This window comes from Homo sapiens, chromosome 11 (assembly GCF_000001405.40).
Source record: "Homo sapiens chromosome 11, GRCh38.p14 Primary Assembly".
NCBI classification, from domain to species: domain Eukaryota; kingdom Metazoa; phylum Chordata; class Mammalia; order Primates; family Hominidae; genus Homo; species Homo sapiens.
In genome coordinates, this window is record NC_000011.10 from 103,651,795 (window position 1) to 103,671,336 (window position 19,542).

Genomic DNA, 19,542 nt, shown 5'->3' on the forward strand with positions numbered 1-19,542 from the left:
AAATCTAACGTGGCTGACTCCATCTTACCTCTAGCGTCACAGGCTAGCTGTCTTCACTCATTCCTGGGCATAGACCAAGCTATCCATGGGAGGAATTTAGTTTATAGTTTAACTTGGAAGAAGGGTGATAATAGTCCCTTTCTAAAACTCACCCCCTCCTTGCTCAGGGACCAAAAACTAATGAAAAGCCATGAGATTAGGATTAGGGGAGGAGCCTGAACTCTGCTAAAATGTAGGCATAGTTTCTATAATCCCTTACTGCTCAGGAGTCATGTGGTCAGAGTTTACAAGATTTATGACTTCCCCAGTTGCTTCTATAGATAACATCACTATTGTAGAACCTAAGGTTGGTCTTTTGAGATGTTTTTTAGATTTTTGCATTCTGGCAACAGGCCTGGACCTGTGACTCATGACTCATAACTTACCCAGTCCTGTGGCCCATACTCAGAGGTAGACGTAGTGTATGAGGATCATTTTTCACACCCCTATGATTTTATCCTCAACCAATCAGCAGTACTCATTCCCTAGCCCCTACTCACCAATTATCCATAAAAACCCTAGCCTCTGAATTCTTAGGGAGACTGATTTGAGTGATAACTTCCATCCTTCTGCTTGGCTGCCTTGTGTTAATTAAATTCTTTCTTTACTGCAGTATCATAGTTTCAGTGAATTTTTTTTTTTCTATGCAACAGGCAGGGAGAACCCATTGGGTGATTACTTATCTCCTAGATCCATTATGAGGATCAAATCAGATAATGATATAGTAAAAACTCAATAAGTGTAATCAATTCATATTAATAAAATAATACCTTTATCTAATGCAGAGAAAAAAGCTCAGTGAATAATATAGAATTTCAAAAATAAAATAAATATGTTTTATTTCTATCAAGGTTTATTTCTTACTTGTTTGGGATTCTGACAAGATTAGGGCTTTGAAGCTTAAAAGTAAACATAAACACACACACACACACACACACACACACACACATATATACACACATATGTATAATACACCACCCCTAAATAAAATTTACTTTTTCACCACAAATGAAATATTTTCCACTTCTGCCTAAAAGAATACTGAATGATCCATTTTGTTCTACAGAAGAGAGAATATATACTTCTCAACCACCTTCACTATTGAATATCCTTCTAGAAGAACTAAAAGCTTCTCTTTGTTATTGACCTAGGTATAGTGTGTCAAGAGGTCAGATGACAGTGTGTGTCTGGCCCCTTATTTGATTGTCTACTCATGCTGAAAAGATGTACAAAAAGCAGCATCTTCCAAAGTTGTAGAGATGGGAAGAGAGATTAAAGGAGACTCTCACTGATTCATACAGGGGCTTCCATATTGGTTTCAATTTTGAGTAGTGATTTTTTTCAGTTCATATTGAATCCTGCCTTAAACACAAGCACGTGCACCAATATTAACAATAAACACTAGCTTAGATAAATTGAGTTCTTATTGTGTTCTGTGCACTATTCCAATGTCTCTACAGGGATTTCCTTATTTAATCCTCATATAGAGACACCAGGAAAATACTATTATTATCCCTATTTAATGGATAAGAAACTGACTTAGTGGAGTTAATGACTTGTTTAAATCATACTGCTGATTGTCCTATTCATCAAATTTATTGAGCACCTAATCTGTGAAGGGCTCTGTGGAATATGAAGATAGGAGAGGTCCCCTTGGAGCTTGTAATCTAATGGCAAGAAGTGAGGCACTTTTTGTCCCCTTAGAGCTTGTAATCTAATGACAGGAAGTGAGGCACACAAAGTATACGCCCTATGTGACAGATGGATGCCATGGAAAGAAAGCTTATTCTTTGTTATTCTTTTTCTATAAGTTTTAAGTCTCCAAATAAAACATCATCTTTCATGTGCATGTACCTTTAAATATGTCATTGCCTCTACTTAGACTGTGTCTTCCACTAGTCCTCTTCTCCCTTCCCCCTGCTTTTTTCCTTTAGTAACCCCTACATGTGCTTTGAGACTCAGCTCGGAGGTTATGTCTTTCAGGGAGGCACTCTTCAATCTGGATTGGTTGCTCCTTTCTGCATTCTTATAATGGTTTTGGAAACCCTACAAAGTAAAAGTGCTGGGCGTTCACCCAGGGTGACACAAGTACCAAGACCTTTCAGGGTTAGACCATCTTGTACATAGGCTTTGAGTGGCCTTGAGGTATGATAGAGTGCCCTATTGGAAGAAGTGAGGGTTAAACACTAAGCCCAGTTTTACCACTAGAACCAACTTTGTAACCTTCAACTAATTTCGTTTAACTTCTTTGGACATTATAAAATGGGAACAAAAATGGTAACCTTTTCTTTAGCTATTTTAAAATACAGCTGTAATTTTTCAAACGAGGTAATATATACATGGCTTGTTAGTATAACTTTAAGAAAATTTTAAGATAATTGGGAGCCATTCCCAATTATCATGACTATTATTTTCAGATCTTGACTTTGAAGGGATGAATCTAAATTATAAAGTAGGCAGCTGCAGATGAACAAAAGAACAAATAGAATACTCTGCACATTCCACTCTACCTATCATGTCTTCCTTTATTATAAATTATTTCAGAAGTGCTCTGTGCAATCTTGTTTCAAATATCTCAGATAATAATTCCCCCATCACTTGTGTGTGAGGGTCATCTCAGAGGTATATTAACTGCATGGAGGAGGACATCACTTTTATATTTTTGTTTTGTGAACAAATCCAGTGAAGTTGACAAAATCATCCCCTTTTCCTTTTACATATTTGTGAAGGACAGTGCACAGGAGATGTGACAATTTTGGAGGCACAGAGTGAGGTTCCAAAATGAATAATCACCTCTTAGCCCTCTGTGAACACTGCTGCATCAGGAACCTGTGTAAACAGATACACTTGAGGAAACACTGCCTTTTCTCTGCCAGTTAATAGCATTGTTACTGACTTAACTGGCATCCAAGTTTTTTCTTCGTTGTTCATTGAACCATTTTTTTTCTGTAAGATTTTCTAAAGAAAATGAAATGGAAAATAATAAGGTAAGATTCCCAAGTGAAAATGACTTTAACTTTAATAATATTTTCATATCATAAATCAGTGCAGATGAAGAAATAAAATAGTCAGTCTTTTATATGAAAGTGCTTTCTATAATCATCACCTGAGATGCCAAAATTGTTAAACTCTCAAAGTGTGCAAATAGCCACTACAATGACCTATATTTGAAAATTTGGGGATCTTTGAACAATTCAACCAACATTCTCTGCTTGGCTATTACTATATCAATAAAAATAATGCATTGCATGGATTATAAGTTTGTGTTTAAAACCTTTGCCTTCATAGATTTCAGGAGGTGAATGAATTTGCCTAAAACGTTCTGTGTTTATCACAGAGAACATGCAGTGTGAATCCCACATTTTGTAAAAGAGAAAACGACAAACTCTTTCACAGCACAGAATAAAAATGAAGAAAATGATACAAAAGTGTGGCTGCAGGTAACCCCGTTTTCCTGGGAAACTACTGTGGTTCTCTCATATTTATAAGCCATCTCTTAGGAGGAGATATGCAGGATGAAATAGTTATTAATTCTTATGGTCTAACAAAGAGAGGAAAAATGTCTCATAGGGCTTGAAAGAAATATCCTAGTAACTTACTGTGGAATTGGATTTCAGATAAGGTGAGTATGTCTCAGATCCCATGCACAGGTATTATTATTATTTTTTCTGAACTACTAAAATAATTTTTTATAAGTTGGTCTTGAAGCACAGAGTCCAAAGAAAGCATTAGATTTAACCCCTGTGTATAAAGAAGGAGTTGTGCCAAAGACATTGTGATGACTTTGAAAATACACAAAATATCATGTTATCTCCCTTGTCTTTCACCAGACAAGGTTCTATTTCTCAATCTTGTCTGTCCACATCCAACTAGACAACTTACATGAAATGCTAATGAGATCCTGAAAGAAATAAACAGTGCAATTTCATATTCAGTGCCAAAAATTGGTGAATTTTAAATTCTCTCCTTATCATATTGAACAATGACCTTGGATAAATTGCTCACTGCATCTCACGGTTCATTTTTGAAACACAATATAATGTGAAGCCAAGATTTCAAAGGTGCACACCTCATTCTCCTCCATCGCATGGCTCTCTTCTCAGAGAGAGAAATGGAAACATTGCTTATCAACAAAATGGACTGGAGTTGGCACAGGCGTCAGGCCTTATTTTCTATTCATGATATACAGTAAAGAAAATGTGCTTTGAACCAAGACAGAGTCTTAGGTTCAAATTCCTACAGTTTACTGGCTGTTTACTCCAGGCAAGGTGCCCAACTTCTTTGAGTATCGGTTTCTGATTTAGGAAACAATAATTCCTGATCTGCAGAGTTATTTTAAGAATATGAAACAGTGTACATAAAATGTCAATGATTGGAGTCACTCAAAAAAATGACAGCCGTTCTTATTTCTATCTATGAAAGTGATTTTGTCTAACAAATATTCATTGTGTGCCTACTCTGTACAAGGCACTGGGGCAGGCACTGAAGCTAGTAACATTCGAATAGAACATAATCACCATCCATGGCCTAGGAAAGGAAAAGTTTCATAAGGCACATCTCCTCCTACCTTATGATATGTGCCATGGTGGTTAATATTATGTGTCAACTTGGCTATGCCACGGTACTAAGATATTTGGTCAAACATTCTTCTACATGTTTCTGTGAGGGTATTTTTAGATGAAATTAACATTTAAATCAGTAGGCTGTGTGTAAAGCAGATTATTCACCATAATGTGGGTGGGCCTTATCTAATCAGTTGAAGGTCTTAATAGACAGAAGACTGACTGTCCTTGGGCAAGAAGAAATTTTGCCGGAAGACTGCAACATCAACTCTTCCCCAAGTCTGTGGCCTATCCTGCAAATCTTGGACTTGCCAGCCTCTATAGTCACATGAGCCAGTTCCTTAAAATGAATCTCTATCTATCCATTTATCCAGAGATAGATACGTATTTCCATATATCCATATCTATGTGTGTGTGACTTATACATGTACTTTTATATTTTCTATTCTAATTTATTACATTAAATCTTTTCTTGAAAAATAATTGTTGATTGAGATCCACTAAATTTGGGTTTTATGATCCACTAATAGGTAGTGACTTGCAGTGTGGCAAAACACTTTGAAAAATGATGCCTTTCCATTTAAATATTGCACCTACTTCCCACCCCAATTTTGTTGCATTTTATTCTTAGTGCCATAAAAAACAGTTTTAATCTACTACTTTTGAATAAATTATTCTAGAAAAATGTGCAACTTATCCTCAGAAGTTTTATTATAACTTTGTCCAAATTTGAATAATTACCACAGATAAAATATCCAAGGGCTCATTTGACCCTGCTTATTAATTATGGAAACATAAAGCTAAAAAATAAATTACCCTGGTTTTATCTGTTGGTCATGATGACTCCATAAGTTGCATTTCCAATAAAGCAAAAATGTTCCATTTTTTTGTTACTCCTAAAAATGAAACATTGGGACTTTTCTAGCCCAATGTTGTTAACAAATGTAGTATTTGTTAACAGAAATGTACATTTGAAAAGTAAAGTGAGTACAGTTAGCTTTCTGTATGTATGGGTTCCACATCCATGGATTCAATAAACCATGGATCAAAAATTTTCAGAAAAAAAAAGGGACAGTTTCATCTGTACTGAACATGTATATAGAACTTTTTTTGGTCATTATTTCCTAAACAATGCAATATAACAACTACTTACATACCATTTACATTGTAGTAGGTATTATAAGTAATCTAAAGGTGGTTTAGATTATACGGGATAATGTGTGTAAGTTATATAGAAATACCACACCATTTTATATAAGGATTTGAGCATTCATGGATTTTGGTATCTGCGGTGGTCCTAGAACCAATTCCTTGTGGGTATTGAGGGATGCGTGTACTCCCAGTGGCCAAAGCTGGAATGATTTTAGCAACAAAGTAAGTATATTGGACTATAATTTAAAGCACAAAATAGATAGCCACAAGTCCATGATGCTATAAAAATGATTGGATAAATACATAAATGAGAGAGAAGAGATTAATCTTCTTTACAAATGAATTCTAAATAATTTATATATAATAATTTATCAGGAACTAGAGCTTAGTTCCTCTACACCTCTTCTTATCCCTCACTTCAGCCCCCATTGAGTGTGGGCTGCACCTACTAACTTGCTTTCAAAGAGTAGAATATGGGAAGAGCTAGGGCATAGGGTAAAATCACAGTAGGGAGACCTGGCAAATACTGTCTCATCAAGGCGATGGAAGTTATCATCAGCAATTAGTCATATTGATAGTGTGCATTCTTGACCTGCTGTACTTAGAATGACACTGCATTTCTGTGTTTTTTCTCCCAAAACTCATGACTCCAGGATAGCCATGAGAAAGATATTGATCAAACCCAAATTGAGTGACATTCTGCAAAAACTTTGATCAGTGCTCCTTAAAACTGTTAGGTCATCAATAACAAGGAAACTTGTTGTTTCTGAGAAACTGTCACAGATCAGAGGAGGCTAGGGAGATACTGACTCAATGTAACCTGGACCATAAAAAAATATCATTGAGGAAAAAAATTGATGACACCTGAATAAACTGTTAGGTTGATATTATGATGACATCTGAATAAACTGTTAAGTTAATAGTAACGTACCAATGTTGATTTCTTACTTGTGACAAAGGGGTCCTGGTGGCATAGAACAATAACAGTAGGGGAAACTGTGTAGGGCTATATATAAATACTTTGTACAAACGTTGCCACTTTTCTGTAAATTTAAAACACTTCTAAAATAAAAAAGTGTTCTTAAAATAAAATAAATACAGTTACATGAGTCACAGGGAAATGTACTAAATGCAAATAAAAGAATGTAATTTGAAAGTGTCAGAAAGTAGTGGTTGAATATATTTGAATTTCTCTTGTTCTCCTTGTGCTCCTAGGGGAGCAATTCTTTGAGGTTTAATTGCCTTTAAACACTTATGAATTGTATATTTAAAGACTATTGCATATCAGATTTTATGCCACAGAAACATTTTATTGAGTAAAATTGCTTATTCTATTAAAATTAAATCATTTTATGGATGATATTTTTCAAAATCTTTTTGGAGATAAAAGGAAAATTCAAAAAGCAATGATGATGTGTTATTCCAAAAAAAGTACCTGTGATTTTTGTTTCAAAATATCAGGTGCTAATTTTCATCATATTTTAAATTTCATTTGAATATTACTCTTCTATTGTAAACTTGTGCTGAATTCCTGTTGCATTTTTTTCTAGGAGAGGGAAAAGGAAGAGTTAGCTTTGGGATAGGAGATCAACACTGTCTTACATACTTAAAGACTCTGCTTAATGACATCCTGAGAGTCATCAAGAAGGCTTGATAGAGATAACCAAGATTTATATATTTGATTTAGTTACATTCAATGTAAAATTATCTTGCTCTTCTGAGGCATTGAGTCTAGACACTTCTCATAATAGAAAAATCCTTATTACTCTATTAGACATGAATTACTTCAGACAGTTTTTTCCAAAGTTCCATTATCAGTGTTGTTGCTAACTGACTGCATTAGTCTAAGGATGCTAATTGCTATAATGTAATCTCCAAGCTTTTATGGCTAAATATAATAATGATTTATATCTCATTCAGGTCACAGCCAGTGCAGGTCATTGGGGGCAGAAGGTTTGCTCCATGTATCATCAAGAGTGAGGCTTCTCCCACCTAGTGGTTCTGCCCACTATTACACTGGCAAAAATAGACACATGGGAGAGACCAGGAGTGTTTGTCCAGGCCTCCATTGCAGAGTCCAGGGGTATGCTGGTAAGTGTTTAATAATCAGCAGTCACGGAGGAAAAATTTTTAAAGCCTTGATTTGTAGCAATTGCAAATTTCCATGGTGCGTATATATCTCCCATGGTCTATCAGAAGCTATTCACAAAATATCAGGGAACATGAAACTGGGAAAAGAGGTGCATGTTCAGCACAAGCCACTTTGAGTTGGCTCCAATCCACCACCAAATAGTCCCTCCCTTCTGCAAATAGACACTGAGGAGAAATTTGGATTAAAGCTTCTCACATTACACATGTATTGTTGTTGTATGGGATGGTTGCCATAATCAGTTCTGAAGACAGTACTTTGCATAAGTTTAGACTAAGGTGCTGTTTATATCATATCTGTGTGACTCATGTCCCAATCTGCATAGCAGTCTGTGGCAGACCTACTATGGAATAATGCTGCTTGATCAAATACAAAAAGAGCAAAAAGAGGAAAAAAGAAAGAGAAAAAATGTTTTCTTTCCTCATGAAGTAATAACATCTAAAATGAAGAGGAATGCCACTCAAATTAGGTGCCATTTTTGCAAGTTTTGATGGCAGTTTATATGGCCACTAGAATGGCCATTAAAGCACATTGCAAATTATATCACTGTATATAATGCTCCATAAAATAAATTTCTATGGATTAAGTCCAAAATTTCAGTCATTTGCTTGCAAAAATGGTCACTCCATTTAAGATACCATACAAATTATGTTCAGGCATTAGGAGCAAGTGGTTATAGCAGCCGTGTCATTAAGCCCATCCATAACTTTATAACTCAGTTTACATGCTGCATAACACCTTGTTTATAAATTAGTTTCCTGGCAAGAATTTGTAGACTTCAGGATGACCTTAAAATTTATATACTGATTAGGAAATAATTACATACCATATGTTGCAGGGAACATGAAAATGAAAGAAATCACACATAAGCTTAGGTTAGGACAAGTTCTAGAATATTTGATACTGTTCTTTTTGTTCACATCAACATAGCTAAGGAGTTGATCCTTCACCTTAAAAGCAGGAATGACTCTTTTGATACCCTACATACCTCCTTTCCAATCCAGTCATTTAAGAATATCAGGAATAAGGGATTGGAATTGGTTGGCTCATGCTTGACAGAAAAGTTGAGAAAAATAATTGCTAGAAGCTAAATGTAATACTTTCTTCTCCAGAGCCCCTTGACTCTAAAAAGTTTGAATACCAATAAAGCAAATTAAAAGGTGTAAATTATTCCTATAGTTCAATGTTTATGTAACTAAATTTCTTAATATTATTCTTTATAGTATTTTGTATATATCTAAACTTAAAAGGCCTGAGAATACCAAGAAATAGAGGAATATTCATCTATATTAATTCTTTTGTGTTCTACTTTCCTTTTTACTTTCAAATCTTTAATTAACCTGGGATTCATGTTGAAAATTATGAAGGTTAATTTTATGTGTCAACCTGACTGACCATAAAGTGCCCAAATACTTGGTCAAAGATTATCTTAGGTATGTATGTGAGGGTGTTTTGGATGAGATTAACATTTGAATCTGTAGACTGAGTAAAACAGGCTGTCCTTCCTAATGTGAGTAGGTCTCATCCCATCAGTGGAGGGCCTGAATAGAACAAAAAGTCTGAACCTCCCTTACATGAGAGGGAATTTCCTCTTACTTGATTGCCTTATGGCTGGGACATTGGTTTATCCTGCCTTTGGACTCCAGCTGAAACATCAGCTTTTCCTGGGTCCACTGACCTTGGGACTGAAACTGCACCATTGGCTCTCATAGGTCTTCAGCTTGCCAACTGCAGATCTTGGGACTTGTTAGCCTCCACAATTGTGTGAGCCAATTCCTTATCATCTCTCTCTCTCATGCTGTGTGTGTGTGTATAATAATTAATAGATATCTAATTGTGCACCCTACCCCATGATTTAGTCAATTGTTTCAACATTATGAAAATCTATTTTTTTGAGACAGTGTCTCACTCTGCCACCCAGGCTAGAGTGCAGTAGCACGATCTTGGCTCACTGCAACCTCTGCCTCGCAGGTTCAAACAATTCTCGTGCTTCAGCCTCCTGAGTGGTTGGGATTACAGGTGCATGCCACCACTCCCAGCTAATTTTTGTAATTTTAGTAGAGATAGGGTTTCACCATGTTGGCCATGGTTAATCTCCAACTCCTGACCTCAGGTGATCTGCCTGCCTTAGCCTCCCAAAGTGCTGGGATTGCAGGTGTGAGCCACCATACCCAGCCTAAAATCCTCTTTCAATATTGACTAAATACTCACATGTGTTTTGACTTGATTCACAGATTCATATTCTCTTCTATTAATATGTGACTATCTATAACTTTATCAGTAATACATTATTTAATTATGGTCATTTGATAGATGTTTAATATCTAGTAGTGCTTGTCCAAATCAATTTGAATATGTTTATGCTACTACAATGAAATAAAGATGGGGACTGGGCTGAAGTTAGACAAATAGTATGCTTTTCAACCTGAAAGGCAAAGACAAAGAGACAGCTTTTCGATCTTTTCCTTTCTTTTTTCTCTTCTTCCTGCCTACCTACTTGTTTGCCTTGACTACAACAACACTCCCCCAACTAACTGCTTAGACATTTATGCTCCTGGAAGCCCTGTTGGAAAACCATCTTCTTAGACTTTTATCTGCCATCCCAAGGTATGTTTTTATTCTTTGTGTTTTCACAAATCTTGGCAACAATTTAAATGGCATTGTTAATATCACAATTTACCTAATGCATTTTCAATGTCCTCTTTAATTCTCCCAAACCAGTGGAAAGGCAAGATGAAAAGAGATTCATAAAATTGCTGTGTATTATGTTACTTCCTAACTGAGTGGTTTATTTGCTTACTAAATGGTCCTACATTTATAGTCAATCGTCACCAACAGATAACACATCAAAAATAAACTTCAATTTCACATTACAGAGGAGGTGATTCCAATTTGAATGTTATTTATCATAGAGAATATGTTACTAAATCCAGTTTATGGAAAGATTATGCCATTTAATTTACTTTTAGAGAGAGGAATATGCTTTCACGAGAAACTGCATTAGCTATTAGAAAAGTAATGTAGCTGTTGGTCTGCACCACTTCCAGCAAGCATGGGTACATTGCGTTGACAAAAACAGCTGGATTTTTTTCTAGTGTGATCTGATAGAAAGAGCACTGGGCTGGTAGTCAGGGTTAGGTCAAGGCAAGGTTCTAACTAGCTGGGTGACTGTAAAGAGATAGTTACACAACCTCTCAGGGCCTCAAGTGTTTTATTTATAATATGAAGTGTCCAGATGAAATCTGGGATACTTATACGACCCTATGATCAAGAGGAGATGCTTTTATTGTCCCAGCTTCTCTAATATCACCAGGGAAAGTGAAAGTGGCTACAGTAAAGTCATTATATAAAGAACAGGAGGAAGTAGAGCTTCCCCCTCGGCCAACTGCAGAGATGTGAGTGTATGTGTGTGTGGTTGGGTGCAGGGAGGGAGACAGTGGTACCAGTTTGAAGACTTACCAGCTGAGACTTCATGATATTTAGAGTAGATGATAACATAGTTAAAGCTCAATTCAGTTTATAGGAATGTTACATTATTCAGTTTACTTTTAGAATGAGAATTATCCTGAAGCTGTAAATTCCTTGGGTGCAGGGACTGTGCTTTGACCACTCTTGAATAGTGACTGTGCATGGCTGAACTTGTGAATTTTGACTGACGACGGCTCACAGATTACCCTGAGCAGTCTCAATTTTAACCGTTTTATCCTATTAACAATTACACAAAATCATATTCGGTCTAAGTAAAAGAGACATGAAGGGAGGCTTTTGCTTTTATGTTTGAACCATTTCCACTGTTCATATCTCCTCAACTTGAATGTATAAACCTTTAATGTCTGGTTGGTGGGATTATGAGCCATTTTAGCTTTTCTCTTTCTGGGGCTCAGAAAATGATACTGCAAAGTATGACACTTTGGCATGCTGAGTACTTTGAACAAAAGGAGATTGGAAGGTCCAGAAGTAGCCTCAGAAACAAAGTCTCTCTCTGACCTTCTCTGGCCCTCCATTTTCCCGTCCCTCCATCTCCCCTAAAGTGAGTCATAGAAACCAGAATTCCTCTCCTCCAAGTTGGGTCACAGATACTAGAACCCCTCTCCCCTAAAGCAAGACATAAAACCTAGCAAGGTCATTCTCTCCCTTCTCCCTTGAAGACCCTCATTCCACAGGGGTTCTGCCCTATACCTAGGAGGGAGGAATGCTATGCAGAGAGACCGAGAAGAATCTGGACATACAAGCCTTGCTGGGTTTCTCAGTCTATTATCATTAGATCAGACCCTTTTGTCAATCACATTGCTACATGGTTGTCCATTCTTCGTTGAAACTAAGCATAAAAGCAGACGGTTTTCTCTAGGTCTTTGGATCTTCATTTCTGAAGGCTCCTGTATCGCACAAAACTTTGATTAAATAAATTTGTTATGTTTCTCTCTTGTTAACCTGTCTTTTATGATAGGAGTGCCAGCTGTGACCCTTATGATGGGCAAGAAAACGTACCACACTTTCTACCCATATACTCTATTTCTTTATATTCAAAATAATAACTATTAATATTATATTATAAAAATTTCATTCTGTTGTCAAATCATGGGTCAACATTAAGTCTTGATTTTAGTTCTGAGAACCTGATTGCCCTTTTAAGTTCGTTACTGAATATAAAGTTCTATGCATTTAAATAAAGGGCACCACTGGAAGCAGCAATTACTGCATACTACATTAAACAGGTTTTGGGAGATTTAGGAGGGACAATGCCGATTACATCTGATTAATTCTGGCCCAGAGGAAAGTTTATGTTTTTATCCAAGAATAATTCAAGACCTCCTTCACACTCATCAATCATGAGCCAAGTATTATATCAGGTGCCAGGTATATAGAAACTAAGATAAATGTAGTCAAGAACTTCATTCTCAGGAAAGTCTGATCCCATTAATTATTCTTTTTCCAAATTGTGGGGAGTCAAAATTTGTGCATCTTCATGTATCTGCCTGCCATTTCAAGCTGGATCAATTTGAAAGTGGGCTTTAAGGAGCTTGTCATACTTTGATTCCCTTTCCCCACCTACAGGCACCCCATTTGGGCCTGCTATCTGAAAAACGACCTATCTCTGAAGGTCTCTTCATTACCGTCTGATATGGTTTGGATCTGTGTCTCCACTCAGATCTCATGTTCAATTGTAATCCTCAATGTTGGAGGTGCAGCCTGGTGGGAGGAGATTGGATTGTGGGAGTGGTTTCTCATGAATGGGTTAGCAACATCTCCTTGATGCTGTCCTCAGGATGGTGAGTGAGTTCTTATGAGTTCTGGTAATTTAAAAGCAAATTTCTTCTGCTAGCTTTGGGGCTGGCTTGCCCTTTTTTTTTTTTTTTGTAGTTCCTGTAAGTGTGATGTTATAATAGTTCAGTAAGTTGAAATCTTTCTGACATTTTGATGCAAGCATTTAGTATTGTAAGCTTTTCTCTTACCACTGCTTCAGCCTTGTTCCAGAGATTCTGATATGTTGTATCTTTGTTTTCATTAGTTTCAAGTAATTTTTTGATTTCTGCCTTAATCTCATTGTTTACCAAAAAGTCGTTCAGAAGTAGATTTTTTTTTTTTTTTTTTTTGAGACAAAGTTCCGCTCTGTCACCCAGCCTGGAATGCAGTGGCACGATCTCAGCTCACTGCAACCTCCACCTCCTGGGTTCAAGCGATTCTCCTGCCTCAGCCTCCTGAGTAGCTGGGATTACAGGCTCTACCACACCAGGTTAATTTTTGTATTTTTAGTAGAGGCGAGGTTTCACCATGTTGGCCAGGCTGGTCTTGAACTCCTGACCTCAGGTGATCCACCCTCCTCAGCCTCCCAAAGTGCTGGGATTACAGGTGTGAGCCACTATGCCCGGCCAGGAGTAGGTTGTTTAATTTCCTTGTAATTGTATGGTTTTGAGCAATCTTCTTATCATTGGTTTCCATTTTTATTGTGCTGTAGTCCAAGACCGTGGTTGGTATGACTTCAGTTTTTATTTTTTTTATTTTTTATTTTTTTAAATTTGAATTTGCCGGGAAGTTCTTTATGGTCTAATGTGCAGTCAATGTTAGAGTATGTGTCATGTGCACATGAGAAGAATGTATATTGTTTTTGTTGGGTGGAGTGTCCTGTAGATGTCTCTTAGGTCCTTTTGGTCAAGTGTTAAGTTTAGGTACAGAATATATTTGTCAGTTTTCTGCCTTGATGATCTGTCTAATACTATCAGTGCGGTGTTAAGTCTCCCACTATTATTGTGGTTATCAATTTACTTCGTAAGTCTCTGAGAACTTGTTTTATGAATTTGGATGCTCTAACACTAGGTGCGTATATATTTAGGATAGCTAGATCTTCTTGTTGAATTGCACCCTTTATCATTATGTAATGTCTTTTTTTTTTTTTATCAGTAAGGAATTTAAGGACAAAAGGGAAACTAGTGGCTATGATCTATGGCAGTTCTGACTCCCTTTAAAAGATTCCTGGAGTGTCACAACTTGGAGATACCTTGGTCTATACCTTTCCTTTTACAGGTGCTAAATCCGAGTCTCATTGTAGTAAAATGACCTGCCCAAAGTTCTTTTTCTCAGGGGAGATCCCCTGCACACTCTGCCTCTCTTGCAGAATTATGCTTCTCTCCTTTGTGCTCCTGCAGCACCTTTTACGCCAAATGCTGGACCTGGGATCCCTCTGTGGCTTAACGTGACACTTAGGTATTTGTGTTACCCACCTAACTATAGACTGTCTGCTCACAGAAACCACATCTGAAAACCTGTGTTTGCCATAGCACATGAATCCCCATATTTCTATAGCCAAGAAAGTTTATTTTATGGTTATTTAGGAAGTCTTTGGAAAGCCTAAAATAATGCTATCTTAATTTAGAGAATTGCTTGGAAAAGTGGCATAGGCAGTTTCTAGGAAGAGAATTGCATGTAACCCTTTATGAGGCAGGTGACTCCAGAAGAAGACATCCGTTACCCTCTATCCTCTGTCCTTGTGCTGTTTTTTCTCAACTTGCAGATTTTCTCCCTCAAGGAACTATTCAGGTAATGATAATGTGAATAATACCTTATAATTGAACAGACATTTTTCATAAAGAGACAAAAAACTTGCAATGGTTATTGAGAATTGGATGAAATAAGTCACCCCATCATGTTTGCTGCTTTACAATTTCAATAGCTCCGAGCAAGCAAAGCTCTTTGTTGAAATATAATACAAATTGCAAACAAGCAGCAGCAGCAGCAGCAGCACAAAAATCCCCCCAATGTCAGAGAGACACTGGCACCGCCAGGAAAAAAAAAGCAGTTTCTCAAGCTATTAATCTAAATGACAACTACAATCTCCCTTGAAAATCCTTACCCAAATAAGGATTGTTTTAATGCTTAAAACATTAAGCAAAGCACTCTTCATATTTATATATGTTCTGAATCCTGTAGGTCTATTCTCAATGGAATTTCCATTAAAATAATAAAATCAGTTTTAAGATTATATATAGCATGTTTATACAATTAGCATTAGTAGTAATAATAATTAACCCTTATTGAGAAATTACCATGTGTCAGGCCCTAACTGACTTAACCATTACAACTCATTACATATGTACTGATGTTATGCCCCATTTCATAGACTTAAGAGATAGATGCAAAAAAAAAGGTAAAGCTTGCCATAACTTGCTAAGGCACATGACTTATATGTGGTAAAGTTAGGAGTTGAATCTAGGCCAGTATTAGACAATCATGTTGTTTTAAATTTTGCAGTATCCACATTAAATGAAAAAGAAATGGGAGGTGATATTAATTGTGATATTTTATTTAAGTCAATATAACCAAAATATTATTAATTTAACATATAAACAATAAAAATTATTAATAAGATATTTTACTTTCCTTTTTTTTTTTTGAGACAGAGTCTCCCTCTGTCACCCAGGATGGAGTGCAGTGGTGTGATCTTGGCTCACTGCAACTTCCGTCTCATGGGTTCAAGTGATTCTCCTGCTTCAGCCTCCCAAGTAGCTGGGATTACAAGTGCACGCCACCACGCCTGGCTAATTTTTGTATTTTTAGTAGAGATGGGATTTCACCATATTGGCCAGGCTGGTCTCAAACTCTTGACCTCAGGTGATCCACCTGCCTTGGCCTCCCAAAGTGCTGGGATTACAAGCATGAGCCACTGTGCCCAGCCTTACTTTCCTTTTTTTGTAATGAGTCTTTGAAATCTGGTACATATTTTGCACTTATTGGATATCTCAATGTGGGCACTCAATTATCCTTTGAAATACTTGATATATTTTGATTTTGTAAAATTTATTATTGAAGATGTAGATTCACATACCCCAATTTTTTCAAACATACTTGAATGTTTCTAATAATTGAATTGAGTATCTTTAAAAATTTATGTGTAATTAAATTAAATAAAATTAAAAATTCAGCTCCCCAGTTACACTAGCTATAATTTAAGTCTTCAACAGTCCCATTTGGTAGTGGCTTCCATATTAGACAGCACAGACACAAGTTGTCTTCATCGAGAACCCCTGCTTCTCCAGCCTGGGCAACATAACAAGACTCCATCTCTTCCAAACAATTGAAAAAATTAATTGGGCATGATGGAACACACCTGTTGTCCTATTTACTCAGGAAACTGAGGGAGAAGGATCTCTTAAGCCAAGGAGATTGAGGCTGCAGTGACCTAGGATTGTGCCACTACACTTAGCCTGAGAAACAGAGTGAGAGCTTGTCTCAAAAAAAAGAACACTTGCTCTTATCTAATAAATAAACAGTTAATAAATAGCTATTGAATCAATATTGAACCACTATGCTATGCTGTCTCAAAGAAGACAATGAGAAGGCACCATTTAATTGCATTCAGTGTTCATTTGACATTTATTTGTCAGAACTAATATCAGCTGATATTAATGGTTAAAAGTATAGGTTCTAGAGTCAGACTGGGCTGGGTTCAAGTCTCGGTTTTATTACTTATTAGTTAAGGAGTCTTAGTCAAGATAAAGAAGAAGGCGTATATCTTGCTAACCAAAAGGAACAGTCCAGTGAGCCTCCCAGAAGAAGTTCTGATCCAGGTGACTATTGCACAAAATGTATGAATAAAACCAGAGGATGACTCCTTAAAAATACCATCTCTTTCCTCAAATCTCATGCCCTTAGCATTTGCTACCCTGATGTATATTTATCAGCAGGACTTGCAGGTTCAACACTATCATTGGCAGAATGGTCTTAGAGTAGGCATATAAAACAGAAAAGCAGGCGGACTCTGCTCCTTGCTTAGCTCTGCTATTGAGACATAAACCTGTACAACTTCTGAGTCCTTGACCTACTTTCTCCTTTCTGTCTCTTCCCTGTATGCAGATTGTGTGAGTATGCAAATGACTCTCAGTCCCAATTCTAGCCACAGCCCTTATCAACCCTTCTTATGTAGACTGCCCAGGTCTCAGAGAAAGCCACCATATCCTGTGAGCACCAATAATTTAGGATTGCTGAATTTCTCCTAAAACCTACAGATAGATGGATGGAATAGCAAAGCTCTCATGTGCGTGAATCATATATGGGCTGAACCTATGGGAGGAGACTCACTGGCATATAGACTATCCTAGCAAGTGTGTGCATCAAATACCTCTAAGGATACCAATCTAGAAAAGGAGTTTCCCCTACGGAGAACAAGAACCTGAATGTTCATAGCTCAATGGTATTGGCTTCCACTGATGTAGTGCATGCTGTTTCTTGGATCTCCTCATGTTTGAAGGTAGAATCTTTCGCTTGGTTGCTTGGATCTTGCTTTAATAAGATCCTTATACTAGATCTAGTCCACAGAGACTGCCTAGATAGCCTACAAGAAGAAAGAGAGAAGGAGGAGAGAGAGAGAGAGAGAGAGAGAGAGGGAGAGAGAGAGATTGATTCTGTACCTACCGGATGATAAATGTAACATCATAGGTAGCCGCCTAGAGGTACATTAGTCCTTTATTCAAAGGAATGCATTTTGAGGTAGAGTGTGTGTATGTGTGTGACAAATGTGGCATATGGAAGGTATGATGTCATATTAATAGATAGGTTTAGTCTATATGAGCCTATATAATTGTTTCTCGTATATAATAATCCTATTAGCAATATAAGCAATTTGAAAGGGTACTTCTGATAGGTTTCAAGCCAGTGGAAATAATCTTAAGTGATACACTGTTAGTCTTTGACCCCTCCATACTTTTGGTTGCTTCTCATCAATGCCAAGTAACTTTTGGACTTGAATAAAATGCCATAGTGGGGTCACTGTACACTGACTCTGATATCCTGGGGGCCAGATGATGCAACTCAGAAGCTCTGGCAAGTTAACCCCTCCTGTGGGGAATCTTGATCAAAGGAAAAGAGGAGATGAGAGGAGCTCGGGCAGATAAACTCCCTTCCCTCCTCTCTTTCATGGACCAATACAATGTGTATTTCTTCTCTGCATATCCTGCATGCCAAGAATACATACCTGCAGAGTGGCTGGCTATGTCAGCAGCTTGTTGTAAAGCAGTAGCCAGTGTGGTCACGTGGCACATTGCATTGCTTTGCATCTTTGCTTCCCTCACTTCTGGTTTTCCCTCATCCTCACTGCCTGTGGCTTGGTTCTCCCACATAAAGAGTTATTGCCTTAACCATGCCTCAGGCTCTGTCTTCTAGAGGACCTGAGCTAAGACCTAATATAATGTTCTGCTCCCAGTAAAGGTGGCACTTGGAGTTTTCTCCTCTATACTATGAGCCATTCCAAACATGCCCTCATTTTCTTCACAAGCTTTTGGCAGAGCTTCGGTATACTGTGATCTTAGATCACATAAAAGGGTGGAGATGGGTAACAACCTAGGCTGTTTTGTGGGAACCTGCAGTGGCTATGGGGAGAGAGAGGACATTCTGATTTTTCTGTTCATTCATTCCATTTGGCTTCAATATAATCTGGCTGCAACGACATTAGGGAAAAGCAAGATGGAAAGGAACATCCATAACGAGGTACAAAGTATATGAGGCACACTGTGTCCCTAAGTAACCTCACACCACACTTCAGAGCTGCTAGGTCCAGCTTTTTCTAATAAAAGTGGAAAGAGAATACCCAAAGCCATATTTCTGTGCTCTGTTATGAAAGCTCCCCTAGAGGTGTCACAATCAGACTGTGATTGTCTTAACCACTGTGAGTGACCTTAATCACTATGAATGACCACTATGAGTGACCTATGATTGTCTTAACCACTACGAGTTTTCATGGTCCAGGCACTTTTAACATATATTGCCACATTTATTCTTCATAACAATACTACAAGGTAGACCCTAGCATTGTTCTATTTTCCAGAGAAGGTAATAAAGTCAGAGTGCGCTTAGGTAACTTACCTACATTTATTCAGCTAGCACAACTGATATAGCCAGGATTCGAACCTAGGTCTTCAGATTAACAGGGTGGGAGTGGATAACCACCAGGCTGTGTCCTCTATATTATATTGCTATGAAAGTGTTGTTCCCAAAATGGTGCAGCTGCTTTGTGTTTCTCTAACTTATGTAAACTGATGTTCTCTTTCTCTGAAACACTTCTTTTTGAAGACCTGGCACAGTCAACACCTGCTCTGGGAAGGCTGATGCACCTCCCAGTGTCTGGCCTTTGCCCCATTGTATGAACCCCCT